The sequence below is a fragment of the Homo sapiens genome, chromosome 11 (genome assembly GCF_000001405.40).
Source record: "Homo sapiens chromosome 11, GRCh38.p14 Primary Assembly".
Taxonomy (NCBI): Eukaryota; Metazoa; Chordata; class Mammalia; order Primates; family Hominidae; genus Homo; species Homo sapiens.
Genome location: NC_000011.10, coordinates 103,414,596 through 103,438,168, shown reverse-complemented (window position 1 = coordinate 103,438,168; position 23,573 = coordinate 103,414,596). Strand labels below are relative to the sequence as shown.

Here is a 23,573-nt window from a genome sequence, read left to right as displayed (position 1 = left end):
GTGGTTGTGGAAGAAATAGTGCATATTCCCTGGTTGGAAGGATGAAAGGTAAGCTATGGTCAGTCCTGAACATTATCTTGAGGGTTAGGAGGGTATTTTATCACTACAATTAAGGTTAAATGCCTTATAAAGCTTTTAAGAAAATTACACAGTAGAAAAGTGTTCAGTTTTGACGACCAGTTTTTCATCAGTTTTTATGACCAGTTATTAATATATGAATAACCATGCAAGAAAATTGCAATAATTCATGTAAAATTGTTTTAAAGAGTATTAATTATAGTACCACTGATATATTTATCATTATAAACTCACAGCATAGTTATTAAGTGTACTTACATAGTGTAATATAGGCTACCATTCATGGCAAGTTTAAAGTCCCTGTCCTTTTAAAAATAATTTAAAGGAAACAGTACTGAAAAGTACATGAAGTGGTAAATTATCACAGCCATGCAATTATACAACAAACTTCAGAGCATTTCTATACTGTTCTAAGATCACTAATAGACTTTCTCCCTTTCTTCCTTCCAGCATTTAGTGATAAATTATGTCCAGGTATATACACAGCAGATAGACAGAAAGATGACTAAATCAGAGTCCCTGCCAGATTCTTCTCTACTTGCTAATTTTAACCTCATTTCCAGATCTAGTACTTTTTTTTCCTTTAACAATCCTACAATCCAGAGAACTGGTTATAATAGAAGCCAAACAATTGCTCAGATCAGTCCTGGTGCCTTCAAAGGAGTCCCAATTGTAGGCTGGCAAACAGAGTAAGAAGAGATGAAAAGATGAAAAGACAGAAGAACAAGGGAAGACCCCCTGGAGGAGGTCTCTAAAGAGAGGAGAACAGACAGAATCAGTACACAGGTCTAGGGATGAGCTTTCAATTTCATAAGGTCAACTTTTATATTAGAACAAAGATGACGAAGATGGCTTCAAACAAATTTGTAGATGAGAGAGAAGGACAGGAATTTTCAAGTGGTCATATCTCACAGCTTGAATTTTCTCTATGAAGTAAAACGTAAGGTGCTCTGCTAAGGAAAAGGGGAGTCAGTGACAGAATGGAGTCTTCAAGAAAGAGTGAAGAACATCACTATGGAATACAGGAGCAGTGCTCAGGGCCCATCCACTGTATCTGAACCGTATCTGAAGTGTACACTGTACACTGTATCTGAAGTTTCGGTAGCAGCGCTCAGCAGCCTGCATATGGACAGATACTAATCCAAGTTAAATGGTTTTTGGAAAGGATGAAGCATAAAGAAAAGTGAGTTAGGATACTGAAGGTGCTAGAAAGAGAATATAGTTATGTGCCACAAATAGAAGGCTGAATCGGCCAGAATCAGGAAAGAAAGTGATAGAGAACTGAACAGGAAGAGACTGGAAAGTCTAGAGAATACAAAATTGAGAATGAAATGTGGCTGTTGTCAAAGAATAACATGTATGCTTAGGGGTTCAAAGGTGGAGCAGGGATGAGTGATGACAAATGTGAACAGACTTGTGGATCATTATTTTAAAAAACATGGATGAAGAGTGCTGCATTGAGAAGATCAAGTTATTCATGTGATAGTAGACGTTAATGTGGTTAAAACAAAAGGCTCTTTTGTGAAGCTGGTGCAACAAGCAGAGGAAGACAGTGGAAAATCCACAAAGGTACCTTGTTTGCATCAACTAACCTGTATCATGTTTACTATTCCTTAAAAATACACTCTTTCTCTGTCTATATTATTCTTCTGTTTTCCTGAAGTTACCTGACTGGTTTATTCTGAAAAAACTTGATCAATTTGAAGAAAACTTTTTTAAAGCAGCTCCCCATAGGGAGCTCCCTAAGGCAAACTAGTCACAGTGATGATTCAGTGTCAGTTACCGTCTATGTGATCCAACTGTACTAAAATTGTAAATTTTTCTCTAAATTCTCGAAAATGATGAAAAGCCACAGTAAAGCAGAAAGCACATTTTGTAAAAAAAAAAAAAAAATAGAACAGTGCTATACAAAAATAACAAATGGCAGAATAATGAATATATGATGTTTTATGTGCAAAATCATAGTGTAATTCTCACTAGTGATTAGCACAATGGTTATCTCTATAATACAATAGTCACACAGTCAGACAACCCACTTAGTAAATAATTTAGGCATACCTGTATTGCAAGGGCACGGGCAACAAGACCTCTCAGGTATTGTAAGGGATCTTCTGGGCCTTCCCACTTGCTCTGCCATGCGAGAGGACACTGCAATTTAAAAAGGGTCAAAATTAAGTTTGTGTATATGATACTACATATAGAAGACTACTAACACTAGTGTGATGGAGAAAAATTTTGGCATAATTCACATATACATATGAAATTCATTAAGTTTGATCTCATTAAATTGAACAGTAGAGACAGCATGAATTAATGTTTCTCTAAAAGGAAGGAAAGTACAAGTTCCTGAAAGAATAACAAGATGAACTTAAACTGGCATATAAAAAATAGTCAACCATGTTTTCTTAAACAATATTTACTGCAAATGAAACTCAAATTAAATTTGACAAATTCATTTTATAAGTGGTAAAGATTAAAAAACAACCAGCTTTGGTCCCTACAGAATTTTTTAAAACTATAAATAGAGCAGTATAATGGAAACTTTATTCCCCAACCACATGGAGACATATGAAACAAACAGAAAAAAATAAAAAGGAGTACATGAAATTAAAAATAAATAAAACCCCTCTAAGAACAGCTGCCTTACAAAAGTTATCTAATATTTGACCTTCCAATAAAGGCATTAACCATTAATGCAGACTCTTCACAAGTATTCTTGTAAGGTCATGTTCATTATAATATACCTTTTTGGTGAAGGTTTTCTGGATTTTCTAAATATCACACAAACTTCTCAACATATTATTTTTCTGAAGTGTGGTAATAAGGAGAGAACGTCAATTTTATACCCCAAACACTGTCTGATTACATAGTTAAGAAGCTGCTATGGGCTAGAATATATCAACAATGTATAGAAAATGGGAATTGTAAGATGACCAAATTTAGAGTAGAAAGGACCTTAGAAAACATCGAATCCCTTTACTTTACAGGAATAAAGTAAGCCTTCTTAGGAATGTGATAGATAAGTGCCAGAACTGTGCTTTGATCTAAAACAGGTGTAGTGATTTTGAAACACAACTGCAAATCCTTTGACACTTTGCCTCTTGAGACTTGAGGTCTGTGCTCCTGTCTTCCAATACAGAGAAAGTGATACTATGCCAGTTTCCAAGTCTAGGCTATAAAAAATTGGTTGCTTATATTTCCTGCCTTTCGAGACTTTTAATCTTAGAAGCCAGTTACCATGCTGTGGAGCCCAAACTGTCTTTGGAGAGGCCCATGTGGAGATGAACAGAGACCCCCAGCTCTCAGCCGGCACCAACTTGCTAACCATGAGTGAGCTGTGTGAAGGAGACAAGCTTTCTCTACCAAGCCCTAGTAAATTTCACACTTTTAAGCTAAAAATAAATGATTTTTAAAAAACATTATTTTAAGCCAGTAAGTTTTGGTGAGATTTGTTCTGCAGCAAGACAACCGATAATGATTTTGATACACCAGAGGCAGGGTGCTGCCTTAACAAAATCCTCAATCATATGGCATTGGACTTGAGACTAGGTGATGGGCTGAAGCTGGAGGGATCTTTAGGAGAATGTAAGTGAAAACTTAAAAGGACTTCTAGAAGAATACTAGAGGAAGCCTATGGAGCTTTGAGGACTTAAAAAAAAAAAAAAAGGAAGGAAAAATCTCAGACAACCCTCTGTTAAACAATAGGGCTTCAATAAATCTTAAGGGTGTTGTCCCACAGCTGATGCAAAAGAAGCCTAAGATAGAAAGAAAGGCTTATCTTGAAAAGATTTGTTTGTGGTTTTTGTCTAATGGAGTGAATCTCAATGAGATTCATAGCAAACTCCCAGTTTCAGAAAAACTGTTCTGGTGTAAACTATCAGTTTAGGATTACAGGGTTAGGAGAGGATGCAATTCAAAGAGAACTTGGCTCCAGGGCTTCTATGGGCAGGAAACAGACCGAAAAAACCACTCAGCTGCAAACATGAGCTACATCTTATTGAAATGTATGGATAATTCAGAGGTTAGAATCCAGCGCTCAGAAGGTAAAGCCAAGAGCAATTAATCATTCCTAGGAAACAATACAAAATTCTAATAAAGGAACGGGAAACATGAACTTCCTTGGATTTCAGAATTGCTAAGGACGTTAGCCTTTCCATCTTCCCTTTTTGAATAGGAATGTCTTTGCAGTTACCCTATGCCTGTCCTACCATTTTATATTGGTTTTAAAGGGAACGGGCAACTTGTCACTGTAGTTCACTGGTCTTTAGATGGGAACAATATTTATGCGGTTATTTTTGAGGAATCAAACCCAAAAAGCCTCATCCATACTTTCCCCTGATTTAAATGACAATTTTATCCCTTTAGCCTTAGCCTGATCCTGTAATGAAATGAAACATGTGGAGGAGTCTGGGAGGAGACGGTTGTATTTTGCATGTGAGGAAATGTAAATAATTTCTGCCTAGAGGGCAGACTGTGGCAGTTTTTAAACATGACTCTTAAATTATTTGACACTCCTCTCACTCACAGTTGACTAACAGCTAGCCCATGAGTAACCTTGGAAGCTGAGCCTTGTGAGAAACCCTGAGCCAGAATACTCAGCTAAACCACACTTGGATTCTAGACCCACAAAAACTGTGATATAAGAAATTTCTATTGTTTTATGCCACTAAGACTTAGGGCAATTTATTATTCATCTATAGATGGTTAAGAGAGTTACCAATATTATTGCCAAGTGTAATACATTAATTCAATAGATGTTTAAGTCATTATTCATCCATTCAGCAATTATTTACTATCTACAATGTGCAGATACTATTAACATAAGGTCCTTGCTATTATGGAGCTTACATTTTATAGCGAGATAGATAATATTTACCTATATAAAAAATATTTCATAGTGTTAAATATGTAGAGAATTAAAACATAATAGGTGACATAATAGAAATGATAATGATAGTGATACATGAGATGAATAAAATAAATATAGTATTTAAAGAAATTTAAAAACCAATAAAGGAGATACAAAGCTGAAGTTCCTTGTGGTGCTTTATGAATAAATTATATATCATGTTATTGGAGTTTAGAGGGAAAAAACAATTCAATCAAGGAAGTCTTTAAAAAAGAGGTAGCTATTAAGCTATGCCTTGAAAGTTGTCTTAGATTTGCACAAAGGTAAAAAGAGTCGCAGGAAATTTTTTTAAGCTAATATTTATTGGGTGCTTACTATGTGTTAGTAACTATGGTGAGTGCTTGATACACACCACCTCATATAGTCCTCAAAATAATCCTCAGAAGTGTACTATTAGGTAAGTGCAAAAGTAACTGCAGTTTTTACATTGTTAGAATTTGCTGTTTGATATTGAAATACATTCTTAAATAAATGTAGTTATGTTATACATCATTTTAATGAGCATTTCTCAATTTTTTTTTTGCTGATGACTTATTGCTTGCTGTTTATGGTTATTTTAGACCATGGAAATGATGTTAGGCAAAAAGCAAATTCGAGTGATTTTCTTATTTGAGTTCACAATGGGTCGTAAATCAGTGGAGACAACTGGCAACATCAACAACACATTTGGCCTAGGAACTACTAACGAACATACAGTGCAGTGGTGGTTCAAGAAGTTTTGCAAAGGAGATCCTTGAAGATGAGGACATAGTGGCCAGTTATCGGAAGTTGACAACAACCAGCTGAGAGCAATCATCCAAGCTGATCCTCTTACAACTACAGGAGAAGCTGCAGAAGAACTCAACATCGGCCATTCTATAGTCATTCAGCATTTGAATCAAATTGGAGAGGTGATAAAAGCTTGATAAGAGGATGCCTCATGAGCTAACCAAAAATCGTTGTTTTGAAGTGTTGTCTTCTCTTATTCTACGTAACAACGATGAACTATTTGTCAGTCGGATTGTGATATACAATCAAAAGTGGATTTTATATGACAACCAGCGATGATGAGCTCAGTGGCTGGATCAAGAAGAAGCTTCAAAACACCTCCCAAAGCCAACTTCCACCAAAAAAAGGTCATGGTTGCTGTTTGGTGCTCGGCGGCTGGTCTGATCCACTACAGCGTTCTGAACCCTGGCTTAACTATTACATCTGAGAAGTATGCTCAGCAAATAGCTGAGATGCATCAAAAACTGCAATACCTGCAGCCAGCATTCGTCAACAGAAAGGGCCCAATTCTTCTCTACGACAGTGCCCCACCACAAGTTGAACAACCAATACTTCAAAAGTTGAATGAATTGGGCTACGAAGTTTTGCCTCATTCACCATATTCACCTGACCTCTCCCCAGCTGACTACCATTTCTTTAAGCATCTCAACAACATTTTGCAGGGAAAACACTTCCACAATCAACAGGATGCAGAAAATGCTTTTCAAGAGTTTGTCGAATCCCAAAGGACAGATTATGTTACAGGAATAAACCAACGTATTTCTTATTGGCAAAATGTGTTGATTGTAATGGTTCCTATTTTGATTAATAAAGATGTCTTTGAGCCTAGTTATTAATATAATAACTTAAAATTCATGGTCCAAAACTGCAATTACTTTTGCACCAACTTAATATTATAATTTCCATTTTACAGAAGAGAAAATGTAGACACAAAGAGAATAGCATGTTCAAAAATCACAGAGCTGGCAAATGGCAGATCCAGGATGTAAACCCCCAGGTAACTTGGCTCTAGAGTCCATATCAGCACCAATACTGTCTTTAATAGATCTAATATTTCTATAATGATTTATACATATTAAACCATTTGAGATTCAATGTAAGATAATTAGGTATTGGGAATTAAATTTATAATCATGGAGACATTAAGGCTTACAGTAAGTTTAATCTTAAAGTTTTTTAGTTTTTTTTTTTTTTTTTTAAACTAAATGATAGAGAAGTTGAATCCAGGTCTAACCCTAAATGTAACCTCTTTTCACCATCCCATGCATTTCATGAAAGATGTCACAAAAGCAGAACCGGCTGTAACCAGGGTGTTCATTTGTTAACTCACTCTCTCTCAAATCTCAATTAAGTGATTATGCAGCAAGTATGAGTAAATAGCTGCTATTTGCCAATCATTTGTTAACTGCTGAAGATAGGAAGTCATAACACAATTCTTGTCTACAAAAGCTTATGATAGAAAGGGAAATCAACAATAAAAGAGATGGCTATGGACAATAAATTGAGCTCCCTAATAGCGATAAGCACTGTGATTGTGAACACGAAGGTAGAGTATATCAAATTCAAACTGCGTAGAATGGCAAGAGTTAGGAAAGGCTTTCTGGTGGAGATCATGCTTGAAATGAGTCTCAGAAGGTAAATGAATAGTCTTTTCCTGAGTATCTATAATAGTCAGGTAAAGACAGCAGGGAAAGGAAGAAGCATTAATAAGACATGACAGAAATGGGCTGATGACTTAAGGATGACATCATAAAATTTGTGGTGGTTTATACTAAGGAATTTAAATTTTATCTGGAAAACAATGGTAAAACTAAATCAACCTTTAAGCGAGGAAGTGACACAACAATTTGGATTTTTTTTAAGGATTACCCTAGTAGAAATGGGAAGAACAACATTAGGAAGACGAAACTGCAATCAGGGAGGTGAGTTAAAAATGTACGGTAATATTCTAAACGTGAGTCAATGAAGAACCATGTGAAAATGAGAAAAAGAAGGATAACGATAGCAAACACTTGTATAGCACTTATATGTACAGGCACTGTTATACGCATTTTATCTACATTAAGACTTTTATATCTTACGACAACCCTCGGAAGTGGGTATAATTATTACCATTTCAAATATCTGGAAACTGATGTAGAGAAAGGTTAAGTGACTTGCACAAAAAAACACTCTAGTACAATTGTGGATGTTTTAATTTCCACTCTAGAATCTTAATATGTTTATTGTATGAACCTTAAAAAATGGCCACTTGTAGGAATTTTCCTCCCTTCTCTATTTAATGATGGAATTACTTGTACTACTAACAAATATCACTATCCCACTGGTAAAAATAATAGCTTGTTTCTCAAATAGGAGTGCAATACCAGTAATCCATTATCTGCAGACTATTGAAGTTAAACCAACATTGGATTTTAGGTTCTGAAAATGTCAGAAGAACTTTCATTTGATTCTAGCTTATCACAGTGCCTGAAACAGGGAGACAGCACTGTAACTGCAATTTATTTCAAACACTAGCAGTTGCACAAGGTTTTTATGATGTGTGAAAAAAGACTCAGTTTACAATTTTAAGAAAAGGAGAAGAAATGCAGAGAGGTCACTGTAATTTCAACTTCATATGCAATGATTAACAATAGATACAATTTAAGATTATCACTAACTCCTACACTTGCCATAATTTACAACTCTACGCAATTAATTGAAATAACTAAAACCTATTTCACAAACATACATAATTAGAAATTTATATTTCAGAAGGATAAAGACAAGTTTCAGAGCGAAACAATTTAACAATAAGAGAGCCCTTACTATCTATGCTTAAGAGGAAGTACAACACAGACAATGAGTAATTTGTGATAAAAGTTAGAGCAGATTGTAGTTTAATCTTAACAAGACCTTTGTTCAGCTCCATGGGTACATCACAGTATTTCTGTAGCATTCAATTTTTTTTTTTATCAGTACAGAAAAAGGATTATAAAATGGTACATGAGCAAACTAAGGACTTTCAGATCTAAAAGATTTAATTGAATGATTCTTTTAAAACATAAATCATTTTTTGAATCTATTTTATGTTTTCCCTTCTCAAAGAGGATCTTCTATTACTTGCTTTCTATGAAAAACTAACCTCAGGTTTTTTGTTTTTGTTTTTTTTTTGAGACAGGGTCTCACTCTGTCACCCAGGCTGGAGTACAGTGGCATGATCATGGCTCACTGCAGCTTAGACTTCCCAGGCTCAGGTGATCCTCCTACCTCAGTCTCCCGAGTAGCTGGAACTACAGGCACCCACCACCATACCTGGCTAAATTTTGTATTTTTTGTAGAGATGGGGTTTTGCCATGTTGCCCAGGCTGGTCTTGAACTCCTAGGCTCAAGTGATCTGCCCGCCTTGGCCTCCCAAAGTGCTAGGATTACAGGCGTGAGCCACTGCGCCCAGCCAGATTTTTTCAATTAAAAAAATAGAATGCTTGTTATCTTAAGAGATTACACTGTTATAAAAAGTTAGGAAGGTGGAAACAACCCACATCCATCAATGGATGAATGGATAAACAAAATGTGGCATATACATACAATGGAATATTATTCACCTTAAAAAAGAAAAAAAAATTGATATATGCTACAGCATGGATGTTCCTTGAGGACGTTATACACAGTGAGATAAGCCAGGGACACAAAGACAAATACTGTTATGATTCCACTTAAATGAGGTACCCAAAATACCAGGATTCACAGAGACAGAAAGTAGATGGTGGTTGCCAAGGGCTGGGGAAGGGGTGAATGGGAGCTGTTGTTTAATAGGACAGAGTTTCAGTTTTTCAAGATGAAGAGTTCTGGAAATTAGCTGTACAGCAATGTCAATGTACTTTGCACTACTGAACTGTATACTTAAAAATGGTTAACACAGTAAATTTTGTGTCATGTATATTTTGTCACAGTAAAATAAAAACTTCATTGGGAAAAGGTTAAGAAAGACTACTAATTTCCTTCTGTGAAGTTTTGCTAGCCATCACTGTATGTTAGATAGTTTTTGTTATTTATATTGAGCTCATTGAATATAGACTATGTACTATTCATTTTTCCTATCTCCAGAGCCTCGCATGATATAGACCATGGTAGGTGGGCAATAAATATTTGCTCAGTGTTACTTATTACATCATCCAACTGCAAGCTTTTTCTTATCCACACTCCTCCTTACTCCTCTCTTTCAGATATTCTGAAAAAAAAAAAAAAAGCTCATGTTATAGAGAGACCATATATCCATTTGACTAATGATGCCTGTTGTCCCAGAGTTCCATTCAGGTAGCAAGCTGTTTTACTCTAACAGGGTCCTCAGATTAAAGGTTATTTCTGGGTGTGTCTGTGAGGGTGTTTACAGAAAAGATTAGTATTTGAGACTGAATTATATATATATACTTATATATATATTTCCGTATGCTTTTTATTTTTATATATATTCATATTATAATCTGGTTCTGTTTCTTGGAAGAACTCTAGTACAGTGGAGAATGATAAATTCTACTCAAAATGTGTACAGTTTTTAAAAAGCGATTTAGTTAATATTTGCTGTGGACTGAATGTGTGTGTCCCCACAAGATGCATATGTTGAAATCTTAAGCCCCAATGTGATAATATTAGGAGGCAAGGCCTTTAAGAAGTAATAAGCTCATGAGAATGGAGCAGCCCCTCGTGGTGGGATTAGTGCCCTTGTAAAAAGATATGAGAGGGCTTGCTTTCTCTTTCTTCCCTCCACAGTGTGAAGATACAAGGAAAAGATGGCTATCTGTAAACTTTTATCAGATACCACCAGATCTGCCAGCCCTTTGATCTTGGACTTCCCAGCTTTCAGAACTGTGAGAAATGTCTGTTATTTAAGCTACCTAGTCTACAGTATTTTGTTGTGACAATTTGTCTAAGACAGTATTTGTCTTTTAAAATATGAACAGATTATACTATCTACAGCATGGTATACATTAGGAATACTTATAGTGAAGCTTAGCTCTGGGAAAGACGAAGGTAAGTTTATCATTAAGTATGTTCAGCAAGTAAAATGATAATCTGTAACATTTCTTTCATCTAGTAAAACTACATTGAATGTATATTTACTTCCGTGAAATTTATTGAAATAATATTTACTGACATGTCTTCATGCTATTACATTCCTTGAGAGTTTAAAAAATTGTGGATTATTTGTACATTGTTTTCTGTGATACATTCATTTAGGCCAATATCATGTTGCCATAGTTAAAAGTATGTATGTATGTAGGCATGTTGGGGTTATAATTTCTATTAATATTTTCTCAAAAATTTTAACCAAACATACATCAAGAGTAGAGTTAAATGGGCTCTGTGGGTTTACGTTAACATTTGATCTATAAACATTGTAAAGCTAGTAGTATTGAGTTTTGATTTCCACAATTTAGCACACTAACCATGTTAAATGAGCCGTAACAAGAAACAACACATTTATGAATTTTTATATAGAATTTATTTAAACATAACTACTAATGCAAAATGGCACAAAAATATTTCAATAGTAATTGTTCGTTTCACTTGGTATGGTGGCTATTAATATAAATTAGAACATAAAACAATTACTGAGGCAGTCGCACTAATTTCTGCGCATTAACGCGACCAATCAATCAAATGCTTGAGGTGAAACAAACCTGGGTTCAAGCCCATTAGTTTGTTATATTTTTGATACTAAATTAGCCAGCTATTAACTGAAGCACAAACTAGATAACAATCATCAGTTTAGCCATAGATTTTGTGTGTTTATGTGCATGGATGTTGAAAAATCTTACATATAGTCTTCCAAGCTAACATAGATGTTCAGTAAATTAAATGGAATTTTAGGGTCTAAATAGTATTTAAACTTGTATAGGGTAAAATAAAAATATAACTAAAAATTATTGACAATATTTTCACTCTCAAAAGTTTGTTTACATTTGTAATCCATCAGTCCTACCCCCACCAACTAATTAACAGACAATTGCTAGTATGTTAATACACACTGCTAAGACCAGCTTGGTTGTGGAGATCCTAATCCAGCAAGGCTAGAGGAATTAAAGACACACACACAGAAATATAAAGTGTGGAGTAGGAAATCAGGGGGCTGACAGCCTTCAGAGCTGAGAGCCTCGAACAGAGTTTTACCCACATATTTACTGACAGCAAGCCAGTGATAAGCATTGTTTCTATAGATTATAGATTAACTAAAAGTATTCCTTATGGGAAACAAAGGGATGGGCCAAAACAAAGGGATAGGCTTTGACTAGTTATCTGCAGCAGGAACATGTCTTTAAGGCACAGATTGCTCATACTATTGTTTGTGGTTTAGGAACGCCTTAAGCCATTTTCTGTCCTGGGTGGGCCAGGTGTTCATTGCCCTCATTCTGGTAAACCCACAACCTTCAGCGTGGGCATCATGGCCATCACGTACATGTCACAGTGCTGGCAGAGATTTTGTTTATGGCCAGTTTATGGCCAGATTTGGGGGCCTGTTCCCAACAACATACTAATTTGAATTTTCTAGAATTATGTATATAATGAAATTTATATATATAGTATTTATAAACATTAAACTTTTAAATATTAAACTTTTAACCTTCTTTTTTTTGTTATGTATAATTATTTTGAGATTTATCCAGTAATGTGATTGAACCAGCTCACAAAGGCTAGTGAGAGCCAAGTCTTAAAATTTTATAAATTATTTAAATTCGTTGTTAAATAGCCATTATTTTAAAAGTTATAAATTAAATGTTATTTTAAAACAGTTAACAAATATTCAAACCTCATCTTTTCATATTATTTTACAATTTTTATTATGTTGTGTCCCCTCAGACGTCTTGTTGAAAGCTAATCACTAATGGTATTTGGAGGTGGGACCTCTGGAAGGAAATAGGTTATGAGGGTGAAGGTTATGAGGCTTCACCCTCATAAATGGGATTAATGCTCTTATAATAAGAGGTTAGAGAGCTAGCCTGCACTCTTTCCACCATATGAGGATACAAGGAAAAGTTGGCTGCCTGCAATGTGGAAGGCGGCCGTCATCAGAACCCAACCATGCTGGCACCCGATCTTAGATTTCTCAGCCTTCAGAACTGTAAGAAATAAATGTTTAAGCCACCCAGTCTATCAAAATTTGTAATAGCAACCTGAATAAAGAATGATGTTTATTTAAGCTGGGCCAGGTGGCGCCACCTGTAATCCCAGCACTTTGAGAGGCTGAGGCAAGAGGATCGCTTGACCACAGGGGTTCAAAAACAGCCTGGCCAACATGGTGAGTACCTATCATCTCTACAGAAAATAAAAAAATTAGCCTTGTGTGAGGGCATGTGCCTATACTCCTAGCTACTCAGGAGGCTGAGGTGGGAGGATCTATTGAGCTCAGGAGTTGGAGGTTGCAGTGAGCTAGGAATGTACCACTGTACTCCTGCCTAGGTGACAGAGTGAGACCCTGTCTCTACAAAACAAAACAAGAAATCTGTGTTCAAGATTATGTCTATTGGATATAAGACAGAAGAAATACCGGATAGAAGACATGGATAGAAGAAATACTATAAAATAGTTTGCTACTAGGCATCTCTTCTTAACTCCACATTCATTGACCTTATATTGGTAACTTGAAATCAGTCATGGCAGGAGCATTTGTACCATGGAAATGAGAAAATGCTATATAGATCAAAGTTGCCTCCTCTTTTTTTTTTTTTTTGGAGAGCCAGTTTTTAAACATTTGCCAGCAGAACACTGGGTGTATCCATGTAGTTGCATAAATCAAATAGTCATTGTTTGAATTTCTGAGTAGCACTCCAATTTTATGGATATAACAAAAATTTATCATTTCACCTCTTGAATGTTGAGCTGTTTCTAGTTTTTGACTCTTAAAAATTAAGTTGCTTTGAACATTCACAAATAAGTATTTGTATGGCATATGCTTTCGTTTCTCTTGGGTCAATATTCACGAGTGATATAGTGGGCAAATATGTTAAGTATATGTTTAACCTTATAAGAAAAAGCTAAACTATCAGCAATATCTGAAAATTCAAGTTGTTCCTGATCCATATCAACACTTGGTACCATTTGGCTTTTTAATTTAAGCTATAAACCAATCAAGCTAGTGTGCAGGGCTATCTCATTGTGATTTAAAAAATGTTTTTACTGATATATAATTAATATACCATCAAAGTCACCTCTCTAGAGTGTATGATTTAGTGGGTTTTAATATATTCACAAGGTTGTACAAGCATAACCACTAATTCCAGAATATTTTTATCAATCCCCCAAAATACTCTGGATCCATGCAGTCATTCTCCCTTTCCCCCTAAACAAAGGATGGTTTTCCATTTACTTAAGTAGTCTTTAATTTCTTTCAATGATGTTGTGTAGCTCTCAGTGCACAAGTCTTGATCTCCTTTTGTTAAATTTATTCCCATCTACTTCATTCTTTTCAATGCTATTATAAGTGGAATTAAGTTCTTAATTTCATTTTGGGTACTGTGAGTGCCATATACTAGGATTCATTGCTATTATACAGAAATACAACTGATCTTTATATATTGATATTCTCATTGCAGTTCTGATATTCCTAATGACACCTACATTTTTATGTGCTTCTTTCCCATCCACAAGTCTTAATAAAATATCTATACAATTTTTTTTTGCATTTTTATAATTGAGATGTTTATTGAGTTTTTTGAAAAAATCTAGCTGTAGGTTCCTTTGTTAAGTATATGTCTTGAAATTATTTTCTCCTATTCTGTGGCTTGCTTTTCATTTTTATAAGTGTCTTTTAAAGAGAAGGTTAAAATTTTGGTAAAGTCCAATGTATCACTTTTTCTTTTTATAGTTCATTTTTGGTGTCCTATTTAAGAAATCACTGTCAAACACAAAGTCACTAAAAAATTTTAGTGAAGTTTTATTAATGTTTATGATTACTTTGGGGATAATTTTTGTATATCTTTGGAGACACAGTTGCAGGGTTTTTTTTTTTTTTTTTTTTTTTTTTTTTTACTTTTTTGGCTTTTGGCTATTTAATTACTCTAGTACCATTTGTTAAAGAGATTTTCCTTTTCTTATTTAATTACCTTAGCCTATTGGTGAAAATCAATTGATTATATATTTCGGGGTCTATCTGGATTCTTATTCCATTCCACTGATCTCCACTGATTCCTTCCATTCCATTGATCCATTCCAATCCATTGATTAATGGATTCCATTCCACTGATCTTCATTCCATTGATTTCCATTTCATTGATCTCTGTATCTGGCTTTATGCCAATGCCACAGTATTTTGATGACAATATCTTCATAATGTTTGAAATCACAAAGTGTAAGACCTTCCATTTTTTTCTCGTTTTCATAAAACGGTCTACAGTAGACCCTTTGCATTTTTGCAAAAAGAAAAAAAAATAGACTCAAATTGCCAATACTTACAAAAAAATCCTGCAGAGGTATTCCTAGCTTTTGGGTTGAGATTATGGAGTTTTCTAGATATAGGATCATGTCATCTGCAAACAAAAACAATTTGACTTCCTCTCTTCCTATTTGAGTACCATTTATCTCTTTCTCTTTCCCAATTGCCCTGGCTAGAACTTTCAATACTATGTTGAATAGGAGTGGTGAGGGAGGGCATCCTTGTCTTGTGCCAGTTTTCAAGGGGAATACTTCCCACTTTTGCCCATTCATTATTACATCACTATGGGTTTGTCATATATGGCTCTCTATCCTGAGATATGTTCCTTCAATACCTAGTTTATTGAGAGTTTTTAACATAATAGGATGCTGAATTTTACAGAAGGCCTTCTGTGCATCTATTGAGATAATCATGTGTTTTTTGTCTTTCATTCTGTTTATGCAATGAAACACATCTATTGATTCGCATATGTTGAACAAACCTTGCATCCCAGGGATGAAGCCAACTTGATCACGGTGGATAAGCTTTTTGATGTGCTGTGGGATTTGGTTTGCCAGTATTTTATTGAGAATTTTTACATGGATGTTCATCAAGGATATTGGCCTAAAATTTTCTTTTTTTGTTGTCTCTGCCAAGTTTTGGTGTCAGCATGATGTTGGCTTTATAGAATAAGTTAGGGAAGAGTCTTTCCTTTTCAATTTTTTGGAATAGTTGCAGTAGAAACGGTACCAGCTCTTCTTTGTACCTCTGGTAGAATTCAGCTGTGAATCCATCTGGTCCTGGGCCTCTTTTGGTGGTAGGCTACTTATTACAGCCTCAATTTCAGAATTCATTATTGGTCTATTCAGGGATTCAATTTCTTCCTGCTTCAGTCTTGGGAGGGTGTATGTGTCCAGGAATTTATCCATTTCTTCTAGATGGCCTGGTTTATGTGTATAGACGTGTTTATAGTATTCTGTGATAGTTGTTTGTGTTTTTCTGTGGCATGAGTTGTGATATCTCCCTTATCATTTCTGATTGTGTTTATTAGATTCTTCTCTCTTTTCTTCTTTATTATTCTAGCTAGTGGTCTATTTTGTTATAAAAAAAAAAAACCAGTTCTTGGATTCTTTGATTTTTTTCTAAAGGCTTTTTAAAGTTCAGCTCTGATCTCGGTAATTTCTTGTCTTCTGCTAGCTTTGCAGTTTGTTTGCTCTTGGTTCTCTAATTCTTTTAGTTGGCATGTTAGGTTGTTAACTTGAGATCTTTCCAGCTTTTTGATGTGGGCATTTAGTACTATAAATTTCCTGCTTAACACTGCTTTAGCTGCATCCCAGAGATTCTGCTACATTGTCTCTTCATTCTCATTAGTTTCAAAGAATTTCTTGATTTCCACCTTAATTTCATTATTTACCCAAGAGTCATTCAGGAGCAAGTTGTTCAATTCCCATGTAGTTGTGGTGTTTTGAGTTAATTTCTTAATCTTGAGTTCTAATTTGATTGCATTGTGGTCTAAGAGACCGTTTGTTATGATTTCAGTTCTTTTGCATTTGCTGAGGAGAGTTTTAATTTCAATTAATTATGTGATCAATTTTATAGTATGTACCATGTGGCAATGAGAAGAATGTATATTCTGTTGTTTTTGGGTGGAGAGTCGTATAGATATCTATCACATCCACCTGATCCTTAGCTGAGTTCAGGTCCTGAATATCTTTGTTAATTTTCTACCTCGATGGTCTAATATTGTCAATGGTTAAAGTCTCCCACTATTGTGTGGGAGTCTAAGTCTCTTTGTAGGTTTCTAAGAACTTGCTTTATGAATCTGGGTGCATATCTATTTGAGATAGTTAGCTCTTCATGTTGAATTGAGCCCTTTACCATTATGTAATGTCCTTCTTTGTCTTTTTTTAATCTTTGTTGGTTTGAAGTCTGTTTTGTCAGAAACTAGGATTGCAACCCCTGCATTTTTCTGTTTTCCATTTGCTTGGTAAATTTTCTTCCCTGCCTTTATTTTGAGCCTATGTGTGTCTTTGCACGTGAGGTGCATCTCTCGAGGACAGCATACCAATGGGCCTTAGTTCTTCATACAGCTTGCCACTCTGTGTCTTTTAATTGGAGCATTTAGCCCACTTCCTTTTAAGATTAGTACTGTTATGTGTGACTTTCATCCTGTTACCATGATGTTAGCTGGTTATTTTGCATACTTGTTTATGTGGTTTCTCCATAGTGTCACTGGTCTGTGTTCCTCAGTGTGTTTTTGTAGTGGCTGGTAACAGGTTTTCATTTCTATATTTAGTGCTTCCTGCAGGAGCTTTTGTAAGGCAGGCCTGGTGATGACCAATTCCCTCAGCATTTACTTGTCTGAAAAGGATCTTATTTCTTCTTTGCTTATGAAGCTTGGTTGGCCAGATATGAACTTCTGGGTTAAATATTCTTTTCTTTAAGAATGTTGAATATTGGCCCCCAATCTCTTATGGCTTGTAGGGTTTCTGCTGAGAGATCTATTGTTAGTCTGATGGGCTTCCCTTTGTGAGTGACGTGTCCTTTCTCTGTGACTGCCCTTAATACTTTTTCTTTTATTTCAACCTTGGAGAATCTGATGATTATGTGTCTCAGGGTTGATCTTCTTGTAGAGTATCTTACTAGGGTTCTCTGCATTTCCTGAATTTGAATGTTGGCCTGCCTTGCTATGCATCTTGGGGTTGATCTTCTTGTTAAGTATCTTACTAAGGTTCTCTACATTTCTTGAATTTGAATGTTGGCCTGTCTTGCTAGGTTGGGGAAGTTCTCCTGGATGATATCCTGAAATATGTTTTCCAAGTTGGTTCCATTCTCCCCAGAATGGATCTCTTCCAGATATCCTAGTCAGTCAGAGGTTAGGTCTCTTTACATAGCCCCATATTTCTCGGAGGTTTTATTCATTCCTTTCCATTCTTTTTTCTCTATTCTTGTCTGCCTGTCTTGTTTCAGAAAGACAGTCTTCAAGCTCTGAGATTCTTTCCTCTGCTTGGTCTATTCTGCTATTGATACTTCTGATTGCATTGTGAAGTTCTCGTGTTGTGTTTTTCATCTTCATCAGGTTGGCTATGTTCCTCTCTAAACTGGCTATTCTGGCTCTCGGCTCCTGAATGGTTTTACCATGATTCTTAGCTTCTTTGCATTGGATTATAACATGCTCCTTTAGCTCAGCAAATTTCGTTATTACACACCTTCTGAAGCCTACTTCTGTCAATTCCGCCATCTCAGCCTCAGCCCAGTTCTGTGCCCTTGCAGTAGAGGTGTTGCAGTCATTTGGAGGAGAAGAGGCACTCTGGCTTTTCAGTTTTTGGTGTTGTTGCATTGATTCTTTCTCATCTTTGTGGGCTCATCTATCTTTGATCTTTGAGGTTGCTGACCTTTGGGGTTTTTGTAGGGTCTTTTATTTTAAATATTGTTTTCTGTGTGGTTTTTTTTTTTTTAACCAGTCAGGCCACCCTTCCACAAGGCTGCTGTGGTTTGCTGGGGGTCCACTCTAGACCCTAGTTGCCTTGATTTTTCCTGTATCTGGAGGCATCACCAGTGAAGGCTGTGAAACAGCAGAGATGGCAGCCTGCTCCTTCCTCTGGAAGCTCTGTCCCAGCGGGATAATGACTGGTTGTCAGCCCAAATGTGCCTGTAGGAGGTATCTGGAGACTCCTGTTGGGAGGTCTCATCCAGTCAGGAGGAATGGGATCACGGAACCACTTAAAGAATCAGTCTGGCTCATTTTTGTAGAGCAAGTGTGCTGCATTGAGGGGGGACCCTTCCTCATCTGGACTGTTTGTATTCTCCCAAGCCAGCAGGCTGGAATGGCTAAGTCTACCAAATCGCAGAGACGGCCGCCACCCCTACCCCAAGAAACTTGTTCCTGCCTCAGGCAGACTCCAGCCTGTTGCTGTGGGCTGGCCAGAATTCCAGGCCAGTGGGTCTTACCTTGTGAAGTGCCATGGAAGTGGGCCCTGCAGAATGACGCTGCTTGGCTCCCTGAATTCAGCCCCCTTCTTTAGGGATATATACAGGTGGACTCTTTCCTTGCTGGGTAGCACAGGACTGGAGTATGTAAAACTCCTGGGCCTGTGTGTGTGTACCTGAGCAGCTGCTGTGCAGACTCCACACAGCTCTGTGTTTCGGACCCAAGGCCCTGGTGGTGTGGGCTCATGAGGGGATATCCTCATCTATGGGTTGCAAAGATGTGTGGGAGAAATGTGGTTTCCCAGGTGGGGTCGAACAATCACTCACTGCTTCCCTTGGCTGGGGATGGGGGTTCCTTTGGCTCCATGCCACTCCCAGGTGGGCCATTACCCCACACTGCTTTTCTTTGTTCTCTGTGAGTTCTTTGCCTTGTCATTTCCAATGCGAGAACATGGATATTTCAGTTGAAGGTGCTGAATTCACTTGCCCTTTCATTCCTCTCCATAGTGCCACAGACTGCAGCTGCTTCTAATTGGCCATCTTAGAACTAACATTTTAACACTAGGTCTCTTGATCCACAAGCACAGTACATCTTTCAATGCATCTTTCCATATATTTAGGTCTTCTTCAATTTCACTAGTCAACATTTTATAGTTTTCAGTGTGTAGAAAGGTAATGCACATAATATTTTTAAATTTCAATTTTCAATAATTTGTTTTCACATATAGAGCTACAATTAAGTTTTTATATATTTACCTTATATCCCACAATCTTGCTAAACAAACTCTTACTAGCTCTAAATCTTTTTTGTAGATTCCTTAAGATTTTGTAAATAGATGATAGTATCCTCTGCAAATAAAGGCAGGCTTCCTTCTTTCTTTCCAATCTGCATGACTTGTATTTATTTTTCTTAATATTTTTACTAGCTAGGATATGTGGTGCAACATTGAATAGAAGTGGAGCTTAATGCCTCATTCCTGATCATAAAAGGAAAGCATATAGTCTTTTACTGTCATATTAGTTGTATCTTTTTCATAGATGCCCTTTCATCTGGCTGTAGAGGTTCACTTCTAATCTTAGTTTGCTAAAGTTTTTTTTTTTTTTTAATCACGACTAGCTGTTAAATTTTTCTAATGATTTTTCTGTATTGAGATAATGTTACAATTTTTCTTTATGAGTCTATTATGGTAAATAACATTGATCAATTTTTTTTTTTTTTTGAGATGGAGTCTCGCTCTGTTGTCCAGGCTGGACTGCAGTGGTGCAATCTTGGCTCACTGCAACCTTTGCCTCCCGGGTTCAAGCAATTCTCCTGCCTCCGCCTCTTGTGTAGCTGGAATTACAGGCACGTGCCATCATGCCCAGCTAATTTTTGTATTTTTAGTAGAGACACGGTTTCACCATGTTGGTCAGACTGGTCTCGAAATCCTGACCTCTGATCTGCCTGCCTTGACCTCCCAAAGTTTTGGGATTACAGGCGTGAACCACCACGCCTGGCCAACACGGATCAATTTTTAAAATGTTAGCCTACACTAGTATTGTGGGGATGATGCATTATCCATTTTACATTTTGTTGGATTCAATTTACTAATATCTTGTAAGAAGTTTAGTGTTTGTGATTATGTGCATGAAGCAAATTTGTGAAGGGTTTTCACCTATAATGTCTTTGTTGGCTTTTTAAAAATCACTTTATTGGGCCAGGTGTGATGGCTCACGCCTGTAATCCTAGCAATTTGGGAGGCTGAGGCAGACAGATCATGAGGTCAAGAGATCGAGACCATCCTGACCAACATGGTGAAACCCCCCTGACCAACATGGTGAAACCCCGTCTCAACTAAAAATATAAAAATTAGCTGGGTGTGGTGGCATGCGCCTGTAGTCTCAGCTACTTGGGAGGCTGAGGTAGGAGAATGGCTTGAACCCAGGAGGCGGATGTTGCAGTGAGCCCAGATTGTGCCACTGTACTCCAGCCTGGCGACAAAGAAAGACTCCATCATTCTAACTGGTGTGAGATGGTATCTCATTGTGGTTTTGATTTGCATTTCCTTAATGACCAGTGATGATGAGCTTTTTTTCATAAGTTTGTTGGCCACATAAAGGTCTTCTTTTGAGAAGTGTCTGTTCATATCCTTTGCCCACTTTTTGATGGGGTTGTTTTTTTCTTGTAAATTTGTTTAAGTTCCTTGTAGATTCTGGATATTAGCCTTTTGTCAGATGGGTAGATTGCAAAAATTTCTCCCCATTCTATAGGTTGTCTGTTCACTCTGATGATAGTTTCTTTTGCTGTGCAGCAACTCTTTAATTAGATCCCATTTGTCAATTTTGGCTTTTGTTGCCTTGCTTTTGGTGTTTTAGTCTGAAGTCTTTGCCAGTGCCTATGTCCTGAATGGTATTGCCTAGGTTCTGGGTTTTACATTGAAGTTTTTAACCCATATTGAGTTAACTTTTGTATAAGGTGTAAGGAAGGGGTCCAGTTTGTTTTCTGTATATGGCTAGCCAGTTTTCCCAGCACCATTTATTAAAAAGGAAATCCTTTCCCCATTGCTCGTCTTTTGTCAGGTTTGTCAAACATCAGATGGTTGTAGATATGTGGCATTATTTTTGAGGTCTCTGTTCTGTTCCATTGGTCTATAATCTGTTTTGGTTACTGTAGCCTTGTAGTATAGTTTGAAGTCAGGTAGCTGATGCCTCCAGCTTTGTTCTTTTTGCTTAGGATTGTCTTGGCTATACAGGCTCTATTTTGGTTCCATATGAAACTTAAAAGTAGTTTTTTCTTTTTTATTATTAATTATTATTATTATAGTTTAAGTTCTAGGGTACATGTGCACAAAGTGCAGGTTTGATACATAGGTATATATGTGCCATGTTGGTTTGCTGCACCCATCAACTCATCATTTACACTGGGTATTTCTCCTAATGCTATCCCTCCCTCAGCCCCCCAGCCTGGGACAGGCCCTGGTGTGTGATGGTTCCCTTCCTGTGTCCAGGTGATTTCAATGTTCAATTCCCACCTATGAGTGAGAACATGTGGTGTTTGGTTTTCTGTCCTTGTGATCATTTGCTGAGAATGATGGTTTCTAGCTTCATTCCATGTCCCTGCAGAGGACATGAACTCATCCTTTTTATGTCTGCATAGTATTCCATGGTGTATATGTGCCACATTTTCTTAATCCAGTCTATCATTGATAGACATTTGGGTTTGTTCCAAGTCTTTACTATTGTGAATAGTGCAGCAATAAACATATGTGCGCATGTGTCTTTATAGTAGCATGATTTATAATCCTTTGGATATATACCCAGTAATGGGATGGCTGGGTCAAATGGTAATTCTAGTTCCAGATCCTTGAGGAATCGCCACACTGTCTTCCACAATGGTTGAACCAGTTTACAGTCCCACCAACAGTGTAAAAGTGTTCCTATTTCTCCACATCCTTTCTAGCATTGGTTGTTTCCTGACTTTTTAATGATCGCCATTCTAACTGGCATGAGATGGTATCTCATTGTGGTTTTGATTTGCATTTCTCTGATGACCAGTGATGATGAGCGTTTTTTTATGTGTCTGTTGGCTGCATAGATGTCTTCTTTTGAGAAGTGTCTGTTCATATCCTTTGCCCACTTTTTGATGGGGTTTTTAACGAGTTCTTTGTAGATTCTGGATATTAGCCCTTTGTCAGATGAATAGATTGCAAAAATTTTCTCCCATTCTGTAGGTTGCCTGTTCACTCTGATGGTAGTTTCTTTTGGTGTGCAGAAGCTCTTTAGTTTAATTAGATCTCATTTGTCAATTTTGGCTTTTGTTGCATGCCATTGCTTTTGGTGTTTTAGTCATGAAGTCCTTGCCCATGCCTATGTCCTGAATGGTATTGCCTAGGTTTTCTTCTAGGGTTTTTATGGTTTGAGGTCTAACATTTAAGTCTTTAATCCATCTCGAATTAATTTTTGTATAAGGTGTAAGGTAGGGATCCAGTTTCAGCTTTCTACATATGGCTAGCCAGTTTTCCCAGCACCACTTATTAAATAGGGAATCCTTTCCCCATTGCTTGTGTTTCTCAGGTTTGTCAAAGTTTTTTCTAATTCTGTGAAGAAAGTCAATGGTAGCTTGATGGGAATAGCACTGAATCTATAAATTACTTTGGGAAGTACTGCCATTTTCATGATATTGATTCTATGGTGGTACATAAGCATGGAATTTTTTTTCTATTTGTTTGTGTCCTGTCTTATTTCCTTGAGCAGTGGTTTTATCGTTCTTCTTGAAGTGGTCCTTCACATTCTTGAAAGTTGTATTCTTAGGTATTTTACTCTCTTTGCAGCAATTGTGAATGGGAGTTCACTCATGATTTGGCTCTTTGCTTGTCTATTATTGATGTATAGGAATGCTTGTGAATTTTGCACACTGATTTTGAATCCTGAAATTTTGCTGAAGTTACTTATTAGCTTAAGGAGTTTCTGGGCTGAGATGATGGGGTTTTCTAAATCTACAACCATGTCACCTGCAAACAG

The 23,573-nt window shown here is 36.7% G+C and overlaps 1 protein-coding gene across 5 annotated transcripts in view; it reads right to left on the bottom strand.

The window, feature by feature from the left end:
- Positions 1-23,573, bottom strand: part of DYNC2H1 (dynein cytoplasmic 2 heavy chain 1) — a 370,438-nt gene that overhangs the window by 41,695 nt on the left and 305,170 nt on the right. For all 5 annotated transcript variants that reach the window (NM_001080463.2, NM_001377.3, XM_017018291.2 and 2 more), the window contains one exon: positions 2,137-2,226. In NM_001080463.2, the coding sequence (NP_001073932.1) occupies positions 2,137-2,226 (90 nt within the window). The remainder of the gene's footprint in view (positions 1-2,136; positions 2,227-23,573) is intronic.